We start from the raw sequence: 16,789 nt of genomic DNA on the forward strand, positions 1-16,789 counted from the left end.
AAATTTGAAGAATTGCTCTAATGAATTTTTGTAATGTATTAAAAATAGCTGAATGCAGGACAATTTGGGCATTTTGACAAAGTGAATAATGACACGAGATGAAATTATTAAGGACAGGACACGACTTGTACACATGGGCCCCCTAGATCCCCAGCCACAGGGGTCCCCAATCCCCGGGCCACGGACCAGTACTGGTCCATGGCCTGTCAGGAGCCGGATCACACAGCAGGAGGTAAGTGGTGCGCACGCAAGTGAAGCTTCATCTGTGTTTACAGCTGCTCCCTATCCCTCTCATTACCACCTTAGCTCTGCCTCCCGTCAGATCAGCAGCGGCATGAGATTCTCATAGGAGCGCAAACCCTTTTGGGAACTGCATATGCGAGGGATCTAGGTTGCGCACTCCCTGTGAGAATCTAATGCCTGATGATCTGTCACTGTCTCCCATCACCCCCACATGGGACCATCTAGTTGCAAGAAAACAAGCTCAGGGCTCCCACTGATTCTACATGATAGTAAGTTGTATAATTCATTATATGTTACAATGTAATTATAATAGAAATAAAGTGCACAATAAATGGAACATGCTTGAATCACCCCGAAGCCATGCCCCCTCACCATCTGTGGAAAAACTGCCTTCCATGAAACTGGTCCCTGGTGCCAAAAAGATTTGGGACTGCTGCCCTACCAGGTGTGTACCTTGGGTCTGTCACACCTTAGGCTGTGTGATCGTGAATAGAACCCCCCTCACCTAGCTCACTCTCTGTAACTGCAAAATATGGACAATAGCATTTGCCTCGTAGAGTTATTAGAGGGTGAACTGAGACGACATAAAATACCCAGTAGTGTGCAAGGTATATAGTAGGTACTCAAGAAACACTTTGTGGATATACCAGCCAATTCCCTAGTTTCCAGGAAAAGTTTTTTTTTTTTTTTTCACTCAAAACACTTAACTCCTATTGAGTGTTTTATGCATCAAAGAACTTGGCCTTTTCTTCATGAAAAACATATCTTTTAATGGGGGTCGCATTTCGATGTTTCATCCATCCTATATTTAAAAACACCAGCCATTTCTCCTAACGATAAAGTTGTTACACAAGTTAAAAAAAATAGGGCAACAGAAACAATGCCCATTATATTATTGTCAAGCCTTTATTATGTAGGTATTAAATTTGACCTCAGAGGTCATCACTCTTGGAAAATGTTTCCATCTGTAGCACTCCATTCTCCATTCTGTTGGTTCAATTAAGCCTAAGAATTTAAATTATCTCTCTAACTCTAAAAATATGTACAGATACTACTGAAACGGGAAACTATTTCAGGGCTTAGAAGAAATTCTGTAGGAGTGAATGTGCTCACAGCTTTCAGGCCAGAAAGGTTGACCCTTCCAGATCTTTCAAAGGTTGTGGAAAGACTGTGGAAATCAAATCAAATCAAGTCAAAATAGACAGGCTTTCTCTCAAGAAGAGGGTTTGGAAGAGAGGCGGGGGGATGGACAAGTTGTATGTCTCACACACACACACACACACACACACACACTCACTCAGTGGGAAATGTGTTTGTCTAAAAACATTAAATTAACAACTTCTTTGAGTGACAGCATTTCTTCCTTTCTTTCTCTTATTTCCAGTTCATTCTTATCAGAATTCTGTCAGCTCTCAAGCTGACATTTTCCTGTTCTGATCTTTTCTCAGATAGTAAAGAGGGATTTTTTTTTTTTTAAATTGGGCTGATGCAAACAGCAGATCAGCCTACAGAGAAACGTCAAGGACAGTTTGTAGTCCTAATCCCTGACCCCCCTGCCCTCTCCTAACTAGCTATTGACATTGAACTTAAAAAAACTGCAATGCCGAGATGAGATAATGTTTTAGAGGAAAGAGAAAAGGAGTGTGGTGAGACTCCTGTGGCAGATGGGGGCATTTCAGAAGTGAATGTGCTGCTGGCCTGTGAGTTAAACTTCAGGCTTTTCAAAGTTCAGTTTTGCTTAAAGTATCTGGTAAAGAAAACGGGTCTCATCCTCTAGACCAGAAATGGAGCAGGCGAGTCTCTTTGGATGACAGCGATTTGCCCTCTTTGGGTGATCCTGGCTTTGTTCACGTGAAGTGGTGACACTTTCATGATGCTTGGTGTAGAGAAACTGTTGGCGTGGTTTCTACATTGGACAAAGCACTCCTTTTCACGTCACCCACGTTGCATAACAGAGCTGGGCTTTATAATGCAAAAGTTTGGAACTTTTTTTTTTGAGACGGAGTCTCGCTCTGTCGCCCAGGCTGGAGTGCAATGGCGTGATCTCGGCTCACTGCAAGCTCCGCCTCCCAGGTTCATGCCATTCTCCTGCCTTAGTTTCCCAAGTAGTAGCTGGGACTACAGGCGCCTGCCACCACGCCTGGCTAATTTTTTGTATTTTTAGTGGAGACGGGGTTTCACTCTGTTAGCCAGGATGGTCTTGATCTCCTGACCTTGTGATCCGCCTGCCTCGGCCTCCCAAAGTGCAGGGATTACAGGCATGAGCCACTGTGCCCGGCCAGGTTTGGAATTTTTAACAGGGATATCTTTATTATTATTATTTTCCTTTTAAGAGACAGGGTCTGGCTCTGTCACCCAGGCTGGAGTGCAGTGACACAATCTTACCTTACTGCAGCCTCTAACTCCTGGGCTGCAGCGATCCTCCGGCCTCGGCCTCCCAAAGCACTGCGATTACAGGCATGAGTCACCAGGCCTAGCCCTTAAAAGGGGTCCCTAAAGGGACTTTTGCAGCCATTTCAAAATAGAGAAGGAGAAAGAACCTTGCCAATACTCTGTTTGGACCCCTTTGTCCTCTCGAGCTGATGAGCTTCGGTCCACCTTCCTGTGAAGACACTCTCACCTGAGATGGTGAATTTGACTTGCTTCCTCTCTAGTGGGGAAACAGGGACAAAGAGAGAAATAGTTTTTTCAGAAAACCCTGACTAAACTATTGTGAAGTCACCTGCCCTTATTTTCCTATCACTTGGTCCTGCATGTTGTAGAATAAAGCCCTGGCATCTCTGAAAATATTTCCGCTATTTTGCTACTGTTGGAAAGGTGGCTTTGTTGACTGGTGACCAAACCAGAAGAAAACCTGAGAGAGAAAATGTTAGATTCCCAGGGGTAGGATTTGTTTAGTTTCAGAACAAATCCTGAAACACTTAGGTTCTCACTTTTTCCCCTATGGCTATTTACAGGGAGGCTAGCGTCTGGATATTTCTTTTTCTTTTTTTTTTTTTTTGAGATGGAGTCTTGCTCTTTTGCCCAGGCTGGAGTGCAGTGGCGTGGTCTTGGCTCACTACAACCTCCGCCTCCTGGGTTCAAGCGATTCTCCTGCCTCAGCCTCCCAAGTAGCTGGGATTACAGGCGCAAGCTACCACGCCTGGCTACTTTTTGTATTTTTAGTAAAGACAGGATTTCACCATATTGGCCAGGCTGGTCTCGATCTCTTGACCTTGTGATCCACCCAGTTCAGCCTCCCAAAGTGCTGGGATTACAGGCATGAGCCACCGCGCCCGCCCACATCTGGGTATTTCTAAGAGGCAGTATGTTATCCTGCTTAACATAAAAGGGTGAAGACATTCTCCAACGTCTCTACCTTCTAGAAGCTGCTGGGCCACACCCCGGGGATTCCAAACCCTTTCCGGGCATGCCAAAGGCCAGTGAGCAGCTAGCAGAATTCTAATCACGTGATCATTGTTCACTGGGGTCGGCAGATGCCACTGTCATTGCTTCCTTTACGTTTATTGCTTGAGACACTTGAAATTAGGCCTGACATAGCAATAACAAATGTACTACAGGGAACGAGCCGGCACTGGACCCTAGGGAATGATCTAGAAGACTTAATAGGTCTTTTCCGTCTTTAATTTCCATGGTTCTAAATATGCCGGCTGCTTATAAAGCAGAAGATTGATTCTGAGGCAGACTGGTTAGTTTTGGAAGCAGTGAGTGGAGAGGATTTTGCTTTTTGCAGCCATGTTCCTTGATGCCCACTTTAGGCTGGATGTGGTTTCTGAGGGCAGCCCTGGCATCTCTCCTTTCACCTCTCTTTGGTAGGGAGCAAATGGGGAAGGAGTTGTCTTGGGCATTCCCCCTGAGCTCACCAACAAGGTATGAGCATCTCCGTGTACCGGGAACTCCTCCTTGTCTGTATGGTGAAAGTGTAAGGACTGGGCAGGCATGGTGGCTCATGCCTGTAATCCTAGTGCTTTAGGAGGCTGAGGCAGGAGGGTCACCTGAGCCCAGGAGTTCAAGACCAGCCTGGGCAACATAGGGAGACCCTCATCTCTAAAAAAATTAAAAAAAAAATTAAAAACTAAAAGTCTAAAGACACACAATTGAGAAATGGAGGTGATGTTATGGGCTCACCAACATCTCACATCCACTCTTGAAAGAAGCCAAGTGCTCAGCGTCAGTGGTGAGCCTCCCTAGGAAGAAGTCTTTTTGTTTCTTCATAAGATAGAGTGAGCATCTTGACCACTCCTTATCTGAGGCCAAGGGACTAAGACTCACCTTAAGGAACGCACCTTTGGAAGCAGGAAGCTGCTGACATGTGTAATGGTGTGACTTCGTATTACACAGCTGGTGAATTCATTTTGGAAGTGGCTGTGTGGGGGAAGAAGTTGCTGTTTTTCCTTTGGTAATTGTTCCCATTGGCTTCGCCCACCCCCATCCCCACTATGATGCAAGGAAACAATTATAGGAATAAAAAAGACACAGCTAAGTTTAGAGAGAATGGGGACAGGCACTAGGAGTTTCCAAGTTTTCTTTGAGCTCACACATAGATTGCCTTTTTCTGGACATGGGAAAGAAGAACAATTTCAGTTTTTCCAGCCATAAAACAGGGAACTTAATGATTGCTTGCATCATAGAAAATGTTATAAGGACAAACTAGCTTACATTTTTACACTGGCCTGCAGACACACTCTATTACATAAGTGAAGAGGATCTTTCATGACAGTGAAGGTGTGCGTAAGAAGGGGACCCAGGCATCTGTTCACTTTTCTGTCTCCATTTCCAGGGTGAGATACACAGCTGGAAAAGCTACTTGTTGTGGCTGATGAAATGCCAGCACTGATATCATGCTTTGAACCGTTTTATCCGGATTTAAGGAGCCAGTTTCCAATTAATCAGACTCCAAGGTCACTCACCGAACCAGTGTCTCAGGTAGAGGAGGATTATGTGTGGGGGAGAGCAGAGTGGGGACATGAGGGACTACAGGGCGAAGGAAGAAAAGGGAGAAGGATAGAGACCAGGGTGAAGAGGGACTGGATTTTTTTTTTTTTGTAAATTGCCGGAATTTGAAATAATCATTGGTTAGGGGAAACGTGTTGGCTTACTAAAAACCCTTTTTAGTTTGCTACCCCCTAAAAATGGGACCAAATCCATGGCTGAAAAGGATCCTGCTTTCCTGGTGGCTGTGTGGTGGCTCTGCCCAGCCTGATGTCATATTCAGAGGCGTGGGAGAGGCAGAGCCCCTCCTGCAGGAGCTGTTTCATCAGGATTCTGTGGGCTTTCTATGCAACCCCTCTTAAAAATCTGAAAATGAAACAAGACATATTTCTGAGGTTGTCAGCAGGTAGATCCACTGGTTTGTGGTAAGTAATCTCTCTGGGAGGAAGTCTTGGCTCTGATGTCTGTGTTGAACGTTCCGTGGCTCCCCCCGGCCGCCCCAGCACAGGTCTGTTCGCTGGGCAAGGAGGCGGTGATGATATTGCTTCTAACAACCAGACTGAAGCGTAGCCTCAGGCTGTCTTGCAAAGCCCCTTCCAAACTGCCTCTAATTAATTTTTATCCTGCCATCCCAATGAGTCCCGGGGGTACAACAACCCAACAACAGAAAAACCCTCATCAAGTCATTTGGAGAAAGCTTTGACGTAACGCTTGCAGATTTTAGATCTCCAAAAGAGGAAATGCTGCAGAAAAACAAAAAACCAAACCAAACCCCTCCCGTTTGGTCACCTCCATCCTACTCGATTTTTCCCCCCAGATTCTCACCTTTTCTTTACAGTGGCAGTAAGTCTGATCTCTCTCTGGTCCCCTCTCACCCACGGCTCTTTCAGAGACAATACAGAGCTGTATTTCTTTTTTTTTTCTGCGGGAAGACAACCCTGAATTCCCTGTGGTCTGGGGTCAGGTACCTGCACTGGGCTGCCCTGGGAATCTCTTAAAAGAGGGGAAGGAGAAAAGCTGGCCTCTCTGGCTTGTAGCCGCGGTGGGGCCAGGCCTCCTCATGCTGTGCAAACACGCTTTAGTGGACATATGTTGGGAGCAGAGGGAAGGTTCCACAAAGAGGAATCTGACCCACCAAACACATCAAACATGCAGCACCCTGGGCCTCCCCCGTTAGAAGTGCTGCTGGCAGCAGCTCAGTCGCCCTACTTGGCTGTGTGGTGGGGGGTTCACGCAAAACTATTCAGGTTGCTTTTCTTCTTATTCCGAGGGGATCTGGGGACAGAGGGGTGCCTTCCTCCCTGGCACTAGCACATGAGCCTCACTTGCTACCTTCCCTCCAGCTCTGGAAGTCTCAGCCCCTGGGATCAGATGTCCACTGATCTCCTCCCCAAACACCCTATCCCACCGCCGTTGCAAAGCCCTCCCTGCCCCTCTGCGTCTGTTCAGGATGCTTCTCTTAGGACCTTGGAATGAATGAAAATTTAGGAAGAGTGACTGTTTGAAATGAGGCATTGAGAGGTGCTGAAACCCAAACCACCCGCCGCCCTGGCTTCCTGGGATTTCTGGACAAAAAAGGTTGAGTGACTTCTCCCCTCCCCGGGACACAACAGAGGAGAGTGATCCGGTGCCAGCGGCCCTGGTGTTAATTTCATGATCACCGGGTGCCAAAGAAAGTTACTCAGGATCCGCTGGACTCGACAGCTCCTGAGAAATGGAGTCTTTGTTTCTAATGCGTCTGAGCTGTCTGGCTCCTTTAAAAGAGTTAATCACAGAATCACAGGCCTAGAAAAAGACTTCTTGGATGGCTCCTCTGTGCTAGGTCCAAGTGAGTGAGGGCTGATCCTGTTTTTGAAGAAGCCCGTGGAGCACCACTCCAGTGACTAATCGCTCGTAATTGTCCTCGTTAATTTTAACCTCATGCGCTGGTGCTTTAAGCAGATTTCCATTTGTCCGTCCTCAGAGAAGGTGGAAGGCATTGCTCATCGCACAAATGGGGTCATTCATTTCCTTCCCTCTCCTTTTTCTTGTCTCCTTGGGCGATCGACTGGCCCAACAGGGAAGAGCAAATGGTGGGGAGCTGGACACAAGTGGGTCTAAAGTCTGCAACTTCCTAACTATGCTGCTAAGCCTCAGTTTCCCTGTCTGTGAAACTGGAGGAATAATAGCCACCTCATTGGGTTGTTTTGAGGATTAAATGAAATAATGGAAGGAAAGTGCTTTGCGTGGGTTCAGGGTGATGCCTCCTACAGGCTCACAAACAAAAATGTGCCCTCTGCAGGAAAGGTGGATGCACGTGGAATTCCTGCTTTTCGGGGTACCCTGTTCTTCAGTGCCAAGTGATATTGGTGGATGAGACAGCAAAGAGCAGTGGAAAGAGAATTGTTACTGGGGGCCTGAAGATGTGGGTCCTATTCACAGCTCTGCTATAACCTAGTCTTGTGACCCTCACTCAGGAAGGCACCACCTCTCTGGGCCTCAGTTTTCTAGCCTGTAACATAATCTCCACCCTGTCTGCTTTGCAGGGGAGTTGGGGAGCAACTGAGGAAAGGAGAGATGGGGGCGGTGAACTGCCAACAGAAAGTGCTAGTCAAATGTCAGGTGTGAAGAGTCCTGAAGGTCGATGCTCAACCAGCTCTGCTGCTGCCCCTGGCATTTTCCCTGGCACCAAGGAACATGTTGACAGTTTGCTGGGATCCCCCTGAATTTCCAGTATCCTGGGGGTAAGGACTGGAGTGAAGCAAGTTAAGGTATATATTATCTGACTCACTTTGTAGGGTTCACAGTTCCTTAGACCCTCAGTTCTGGTTTGTTTTGAAAGGGGACAACCCCTGTCTGGGAGGAGCCTTTAGTCAAGAGGCAGTACTGCATAGTGGTGAAGCAGTTTGTTAAACCCCACAGACTATGGGGCCAGACCCTGGTCATATTCTAACTCTGCCACTTTCCCTCCTATGTCCTTGGGAAGCCGCCTGCCTCTCTGTGTTTCAGCATCCTCAGCTGTACAGTGGGGATAATAGGAATTCCCATCTGATAAGGATTGTGTAAGTATGCACCACATGCTTAAACCATGCCCTGGCACATGGTATACACTCAAGATGTAGTGACAGTATAATCGTCATGAGTCAAATGTTTGTGGTCCATGCAGTGATGAAGCCTGATTCGTTTCTGAAAGACCTCGCTAGGACCCTCTAGTCCAGTGGGTTCTTAAGCTTCTGAGGGCCACGGCTTGTATGACAAATGTTATGAACTTTCTCTGCTGAAGAGTTAACATATGCCCCTAAACTTCACATATATCTTCAGGGTGTTCCAACCCATCCATGGAATTGCTGGGGTTCATAGACCCCGGTTTAGGAACTTCTTTTTTATTTTATTTTATTGCCTTCCTTTATTTTGTTTATTTATTTTGAGACAGGGTCTCATTTTGTCACCCAGGCTGGAGTGCAGTGGTGCGATCATGGCTCACTGCAGCCTCGACCTCCCAGGCTCAAGCAATCCTCCCACCACAGCCTCCAGAGTAGCTGGCACTATAGGCGTGCACCACCACCCCCAGCTAATTTTTGTATTTTCAGTACAGATGGGGTTTCACCATGTTATCCAGGCTGGTCTCAAACTCCTGGGCTCAAGTGATCCTCCCACCTTGGCCTCCCAAAGTGCTGGGATTACAGGCATGAGCCACTGCATCCAACCTTATTGCCTTCTTACTTGCTAGGTCACCAGGATCATCCAAGTACAGTTTTGGATATAGTAAGGAAAAGTATCTGGTATAATAAAATTATATTATGGTTACGTCAACTAGAGGTCCAAAAAAGAAAGAAAATGTATGATATAATTGAACCCAAGCTAGGCTTCATAAATCTTTTTCTTGAGTGGTATGCCTTTGATGCATGTCATTGCAATTTTTGTCCACACCCAATTCACACTGCTCTGAGAGAATCCTGGAGAAACTTTCTCTTTGCCTCTATTTCCATGGCAATTGTGAATAGCCAAGAGTCACTTTGTTAAGAATTCCTAATTCTGGAGAAATGGAAGGTCAAAGTCATGAACCTCTCAGTTAATAGTGGAAGTTTCCTTATTTTAAGTTTTATGAAGAACTCTCTTAAGTATGGTGTTTATAGGCTAGGGTTTGCAAGAACCTGAATCAAAAAACAAATAATAGCAAACATACCCTTCGCTAGGATTCTACCTGGATGACCTCATTATAATTTGGTAGGAATTAAGGGTTAGACCCACAAGAGTTTCATTTTCAGGTTAGACAGAAGCATATTTCAAGTCTCTCCAAATACCTACTTAACAAATACCACCTTTTGCATGTTCTTGATTTATTTCTCTACTTCTATACCATTGGCTTTGCAAAATTAATTTGCCACATGGAAATTTCTTAAATCACTTTCTCACCAAACCATGAATATGGTTTGGAAAAGGGAGAAGGGGAGGACCCTTTGTTTTTTCTATTAAGGGCTGATAACCCACAGGAAAAACTGATTTTTTCCGAAAAAATCAAATATCTGCATTTTCTTTTCTTAGGGAAACAAATACCTGTTTGGAAAATTAAGTACAGAGAAGATACAGAAATACTACAAAATATGGTTGTGTCTTTACTATTTTTTTTTTTTTTTTTTTTTTTGAGATGGAGTCTTGCTCTGTCACCCAGGCTGGACTGCAGTGGTGTGATCTGGGCTCACTACAACCTCCGCCACCTGGGTTCAAGTGATTCTTCTGCCTCAGCCTCCCGAGCAGCTGGGACTACAGGCATGCACCACCACACCCAGCTAGTTTTTGTATTTTTAGTAGAGACGGGGTTTCACCATATTGGCCAGGCTGGTCCTGAATTCCTGACCTTGTGATCCATCTGCCTTGGCCTTTCAAAGTGCTGGGATTACAGGCGTGAGCCACCACGCCTGGCCTGTGTCTTTACTATTATATCCAATTTAAGTGGCTAGAAAGCAAAAAAAATAGGACAGGTAAAGGTTGGTGAAGGGGAATCAGGAACGGCAGGAAGTGCTAGAGAGAGTGAGGGGCCTGACTGAACAGGTGGGAGAGAAGCGGTGGTTGCAGAAGAGATGGATTTGGGTCAGGCAGTTACACCAATGGTGCAGAGAGGAAAGATAATGTAGCAACCACTAGTTACCATCTTTATACGTGTATATCTTTGTATCTCCCTCATTGCCTAACACACATGCCGTGTACATATTAGGTACTCAGTAAGTTAATGAAACAGAAACAAAGAGAATGTGTAAAACACCAGAAGCTGTAAAATTAATTTTGACTTAGAAGTGTACTTTATCTAGGCTGTGATCTTACCATTATTATCAAGTGCCATCTGTTTCTCTTGAAATAGTTTTTTTTTTTTTTTGGAGGGGGGATGGGTGGGGGTTGGTGCAGTTTAATTGCTCTTCACAGGTCTTCAACTGCTTTAATTAATCCCAAGCTTCAGAAGCTCTACCCCGAATGGGATATCTAGAGCTTCCTCCTTGGGGTGGTGGGGAGGGCCAGATTTTCCTCAAGACTGCAATAGGAGTGCGCAGAAATCATATCACAGTGAGCTTGGGAGCTCCCTGTGGACTTGGGTTAGCAATTTCCCATCCTGATGGCTACGGACTTCGATACAGCCTAGTGACGCCATATTTGTAGATCATAGACAACTGCTTACATTTCTTCTCTGAAAAATAATTCTGAACTGGGGCTTGAAAACATAGAGTTGAGAAACAAAGGACAAGGGAAACATTAATTTTGTGCTTAACACTCAACAGTAGTGTCCATCCTGGCCAGAAAAAAAAAAAAAGTGTTCTCCTGGTTTGAGAGAATCTGGCTTTAGCAGAACATCTGAGTTGGAATCCCATGTAGCTATGGAATGAAAATGTGCCATATTTGAATGACTGGTCTGTCCACTCCTTATAATGACATCTAGCCCAAATAATAGACCCATACGTGTAGGTGGCACTTAAAAAATACCATTCACCAGAAGGAGGTTTTGAGAGGACTCTACCTCACTATTTCAGCCATGCTTGAAATAACTGCAAATGGTCCCATGCCACATGAAAGGCACTAAGTGGCATTCCTTGGATGAGCAGGGAGCCCAGGACTCTTGATGGTAGGCGTTCTGGAGGGCCATGGAGCTGGGACACTGGTATTGACATGGTGACCCCTAGTGTTTCCTGTTGGTAGCACGACTTGGAACACCACCAGCAACCCTGGCCTAAGTAGGGCGTCTTTACCATCTTCTGATGGAAGGAGTTATTGCCCACCATAATTGTTTATGTCTTTAAAACCATCATGTTAAACAATCCCCCCCTTCAACTTTAATGCATTTTTCTGCACAATATCCACTTCTAACCCCTGCTGAATAGAACTGAGTCTTGACACTGTTGTTTTCTTATAATGTGTGGCCTCCTGTCTAAGCATTTCAAAGATCAAGATATATCAATTCATTACTGTGGTTACAATGTCATAAACAATGGATAATGGCATCAATGGATGAATTGTTGGAGGAGGTGGGTATTGCTATATCCACGGCATGAGAGCGTGACTAGGAAGGATTTACTATGAGCACATGAAGTAGAGGACAAGCTAGCAAGGTGGATATGGTGATTGGTCCAAGTACCATGTCTGTTGTCTGTTGTATTTTTCATCTCAGTACCCTGCTCCAGACATTGTAGCAAATGATGAGTAAACATAAAGCAATTGGATTGTATATGCTCATGCAAGGAGGTGAGGAAAGTCAACTAAGCGGATAATTCAAACCACCTAAACCACTTCCCCATGACTTATCTGGATATTTCAGAGAAAAGTATTTTCTTTTTGGGATTTGATCATGTGTATTTCTACTAAACATGATAGATGTCTTCATTTCTAATGTTACATACTATAGGCAGACACAGCCTGAGGGTAAAAAACAATGATTACAACTCATTCATTCATTATCACAAACCTTACTTGACATAGACTAAGTGGGCTGGGAATGGGCTGGCCGTTGGTTCAAATCCCAGTGCTTTTCAGTTTATGGTTATTACCCTGTTTTATTTCAGGTATAAAAGATGCTTCTTGTCAGTGTTCCAAATGTACTTGGGTGTCGGTAAAGAAAAAGAAGATAAGTAGAGTATCTGATTTGGTGGTTTTTTTTTTTTTTTTTTTTTTTTTTTTTTTGAGATGGAGTATTGCTCTGTCGCCAAGGCTGGAGTGCAGTGGCACGATCTCGGCTCACTGCAACCTCTGCCTCCCAGGTTCAAGTGATTCTCCTGCCTCAGCCTCCTGAGTAGCTGGGACTACAGGCGCGTGCTGCCATGACCGGCTAATTTTTTGTATTTTTAGTAGAGGTGGGGTTTCACTGTGTTAGCCAGGATGGTCTCCATCTTCTGACCTAGTGATCCGCCCGCCTCAGGCTCCCAAAGTGTTAAGATTACAGGTGTGAGCCACCATGCCCAGCCCCTTATTTGGTGTTTGAAGAATCATGTCACCGTTATCACAAAGACTGTAAGTCTTTTAACTGCATGAATACCATTGGTTACTTTATTCTCTTCCATGCTGGTATCTTTTTTTTTTTTTTTTTGAAGTTTAACCCCATTGCTGGACATACCAGTGTTATGAAGAAGAAAATAAACTAAAAAATGCTTATTTTATGCAGAAAGGTATAATTCTGATTAATAGTAATAAATCAAAATAAATCGGTAGAATTTCTAAGACTCAAGTGAGAGCTTGGGGTTCTTCTCTAGCTTTCGTTGATTATCGAGAAACAAAGGCCAGAAACTGCATGTAAAACAAAGAGGCACAAAAGGCAAATGTAATCCCATCATTTAGATGAGTTCTTGGGTGACATCTTTGTGGTTTCCTTTTCCTATATCTAGACCTCCAGATTCAGTTGGTGGCTCATCCTCGCTACAGAAACTTCCTTAATATGCCAGAGGGACATGTTGGAAGCGAAGGGCTTCTGTCATCATTGGGAAGGGCAGAAACAAAAGGGGACTTTCACTCAGATGCAGGAGGGAAGCAAGTTCTCCCAGGCAAAGCCAACGGCACTGGATTCTTTCCCCCAACCTACTTGTTATATTCAAATACTTCAGACTCTCCTTTTTATAAAAAATCAGTTCTGCCTTCTCAAAGCAAACCATCAACATCAAAAACAATGACATTGGATGTCATTTTAAATGAAAAAGAAAAAGAAATAAACAGATTCAAATGTGAGCTCGGGGACTCTCGACTTTGTGAACGTCCCGTTCAAAACAAAGCTCTTTGACTATTAGGCTGAGACCAGAGAGTTTTACCTTCCAGGTGTATATTTCTAGAGTCATCTGTGAATTGGGGGGAAACTTTGGAAACTGATGTCCAGGTTCAACTATACCATCAAATTCTGGAGAAGATTGCTAACGTATGATCAGAAAGGAAGAAGACGGTTTGTGTAGACAACGTGGCTGGTCCCTCGTAGAATGGGGCGTAACGGGGTACACTTAGGTATCCAGAGTACAGAAAACCTGCTGACAGGTAGACACCTAAGGTGACAAAGAAATTGCCATATTTATTGCTTTAGTGGGATAAAATGCATGGTTGTCTAAAATGAAACGGTAGCACCAAGTCCATGGCCCATGAAAGTGACTCTGCTGCCATCTATGCCCAAAGCCTCTTGTTTCCAAGGAAGCCGGTTTTATAGGAATGCATCAGAACATCTTCTTTTACCTTTTGACAAAATGAAACTGCGTCCTTGGGAGTTTCCCACCCATTGCTCTCTTGGCTACTTCACTCCAGTACTATTTCATTACTTATTGATTTTTCAACGCCTCTCTGCATGGCTGTAATTTACACAAGTCCTTACAGCCCTTAGCGATTCTTAACACCTCAAGGTAAGATCACTGAGTCCACTAGAGAGAGACATTCTTTTCTGGAATGATGAAAAATTGGTGAGTCTCCTTGCTAACACAGGCTCCTTTGGGAGGCCATGGTGGATGGAAAGTAACATCACAGTCCTCCAGGTGCTACAGTGAGAGGGTGAACGAGGCCAACTCCAAAATGGATGTTGTCACATTCTTGTTATGCTACTGAAGTCTATGCAACTTTTATTTCCAGAATGAAATACAGAGTTTTATAGATTGGCAGTTCTTAGTGAAAAAAAAGAAAGCCTATGAAGTAACCTGAAAGCTGGTAACATTGGATTTATTATGATCTTTTAAAAAATTAATCACCACACTAGTCAATTTGTAAAATATGTGTTTGCCTTTGTTGTAATCAAGGTTCCACATGGAAAAAAGAAATGGAAGTAAAGGAAAATGTCAGCATGATGAAAAAACATAGAAGAAAATAAGTGTCTTCTGGAGAGTTTTTGAGTAAAACATACCAGTGTTATGAAGAAGAATAAAAACTAAAAAATGAATATCTTATGCAGAAAGGTATAATTCTGATTAATAGTAGTAAATCGTATTAAATTGGTGGAATTTCTAAAGTCTCCTATCCAGACTTCATTATTTGGCCTTCAAAAGTTTATAATTAAAAAAATTACTCAGCTATTTTGCTATATATTACTAGGAAATATTTTTTGTTTCAGCCATAAAACCCCTTCATGAATTTTTATTTTATATATTTAGAATTATGGTGAGAATGTGATTTATACATTTGAAGGAAAATTTAATATTATCGAATAATCATATGAAAAATGATATCTTTTCAACCAAAGATAGGATTGAATTCTCTTGATGCTTCCACTACAAAATGATATTAAATAAAAGATCCCTTGAAGAAGTGTATTTTAGATTGGCCCTGTGAGGAAGCCATAGTCTGAAAAAACCGATAAATGTCAGACTGTTTACACAGTATCATGTAGCTTACCTAACTCTATGACCTGAAAACCATTTCTGGATGCTTCCAAAACAATGAACCTAACCAATTCACAAATCACAGACTTTTTTTTTAAGCTTAAAGTGAATTTAGAAAGCATCTGGACCAATTATAGTTAATTTGTTGAAATCAGGGAAAATAATCCTATCAAAGGAGCTATTTAGCATTTGAATATTTTTTAAAAGCCAATTTTTTGATGACATACTTTACTTTTTAATTATGTATTACCTGTTACGCTCATGATTATTCATCCTTCACCTGATGTAAACCACCCAATTTTCCAATGCCTTGGGACGTACTGAGATAATTGTAATGAACATGGTGCTTGCTTGCTCTGTATTGCTTCCCTTTCTTTTGAAATGTGCACTCTAAATTTCTTTTATGGGGAAGCACCTTTCCCTGCTCTCAGTTCATTTGGTTTGGGCAGGGCAGACCCTACTCCCTGGCTCTAGGTTGATCCAAGCCAGGCCAGCTGGACACTACACCACCTTGTCTACAGTGATGGACATGAGCTGAGACAGTGAGAGCCAAAGCAAGATCTTTTGCTGAAACCATTGGCAATGGGGGGGCTCTGTCCCCTTGGGGTATTTATGCTGGTGGATGTGAGTTTGGGCTGCCAGGGGCTACCACATGCCAATAGCCCACCTGGAAATGAGGCAAACACAGAGGAAAACAGAACCAAAGTAGGTGTGGGGAGAGTAGGGGAGTCAGATATTACTGTTTGAGCTGTTGAATCCAGCTAAGCCTAAAGCAGCCAACCCCATGCATTTTAGTCTATGAATTAAAACACTGCCATTTTTACTTAAGCTAATGTGAATCTGGTTACAGTTAGTTTCAACCCAAAGAGGCTTGATTAATTAGGACAATTTTATCTGTGAACAATCTGCATGTTTCAAACTTATTCTGAAATAAATTTGGAATGCTTAGGCAGGTTCACTAAATTAAAAGGGCTTCAACAATTTTGTTGTCCATGTGAGAGGAAAATGCTGCAAAAGCATCTTAGACTTGGCTGTGCAACTGCTTTGGTATGAGAAACGCTCTACTAGAGCAAGAAGAGAGAAGCTGAAAAATCCTTAAAAATAATAATGAAGATGAAGATTCACTATTTTTGTTTCGTTTTGGTTCAGGTAATGCTGAATTACATGAAATCTCCTTAAGAATAGTCACTGTATTTTCTTAGCATCTGCAATACCAAACAAAGAGCTAGAAGCACAGTAGGCATTTACTGGACTAAACTTATTAGAAAGAATTGCTGCCTGTCCTTCATGCTTCCTACATATTGATGAATGAAAGCCACTTACGGCGTGGTAGTGTTTCTCAGGAATTTAACACAATCCACAAATGATCAGACTTCTCTGAAGATTGACAAAATTCCCAGAAAACACCAAGAACATAAATCAGTGGGAAGAACATTTTTTTTTAACTGTGACTCACAATCATTTTCTTAAAAAAGGCATTTAAATGTAAAGATCTCAGCTCAATATTATTCACTATAAGTCTGTGTAGCCAACCACCCATTCTTTGTCCCTGGGTGATGTGTAAGAGTACTGCCCTTGTTAGAATTCATAAATGTGGCCAAAACCTGGGCTAGACTCAATATTTCTGAGCCCTTGAAACTCTCTAGAATGAACACCATTAAAAGAATGTGTTCATTTTGAATCACCCATCTCTTAGTTATTTCCTAACCATCTCTTTCTGAAATTAACTGTTGGCCAAAATAGAATACCAATCAAAAGCCACATGGAAGAGAAATATGAAGCCTGAGAAGAAAATATGAACCTCACCCAGGGTGAAT

General features: G+C 43.3%; 1 protein-coding gene across 1 annotated transcript in view, besides 1 other annotated feature; it reads right to left on the reverse strand.

Annotated features, from left to right (window-relative positions):
- Positions 1–16,789, reverse strand: part of ZFHX3 (zinc finger homeobox 3) — a 1,109,046-nt gene that overhangs the window by 402,753 nt on the left and 689,504 nt on the right. The window lies entirely within an intron of this gene.
- Positions 11,028–11,529: an enhancer, noted in NCBI's record as "NANOG hESC enhancer chr16:73230564-73231065 (GRCh37/hg19 assembly coordinates)". NCBI's record gives its function as "activates a minimal SCP1, AML or CMV promoter by ChIP-STARR-seq in naive H9 embryonic stem cells {active_cell/tissue: H9 hESC(naive)}" and the evidence as "EXISTENCE:reporter gene assay evidence [ECO:0000049][PMID:30033119]".

This window comes from Homo sapiens, chromosome 16 (genome assembly GCF_000001405.40).
Source record: "Homo sapiens chromosome 16, GRCh38.p14 Primary Assembly".
In the NCBI taxonomy this organism is placed as follows: Eukaryota; Metazoa; Chordata; class Mammalia; order Primates; family Hominidae; genus Homo; species Homo sapiens.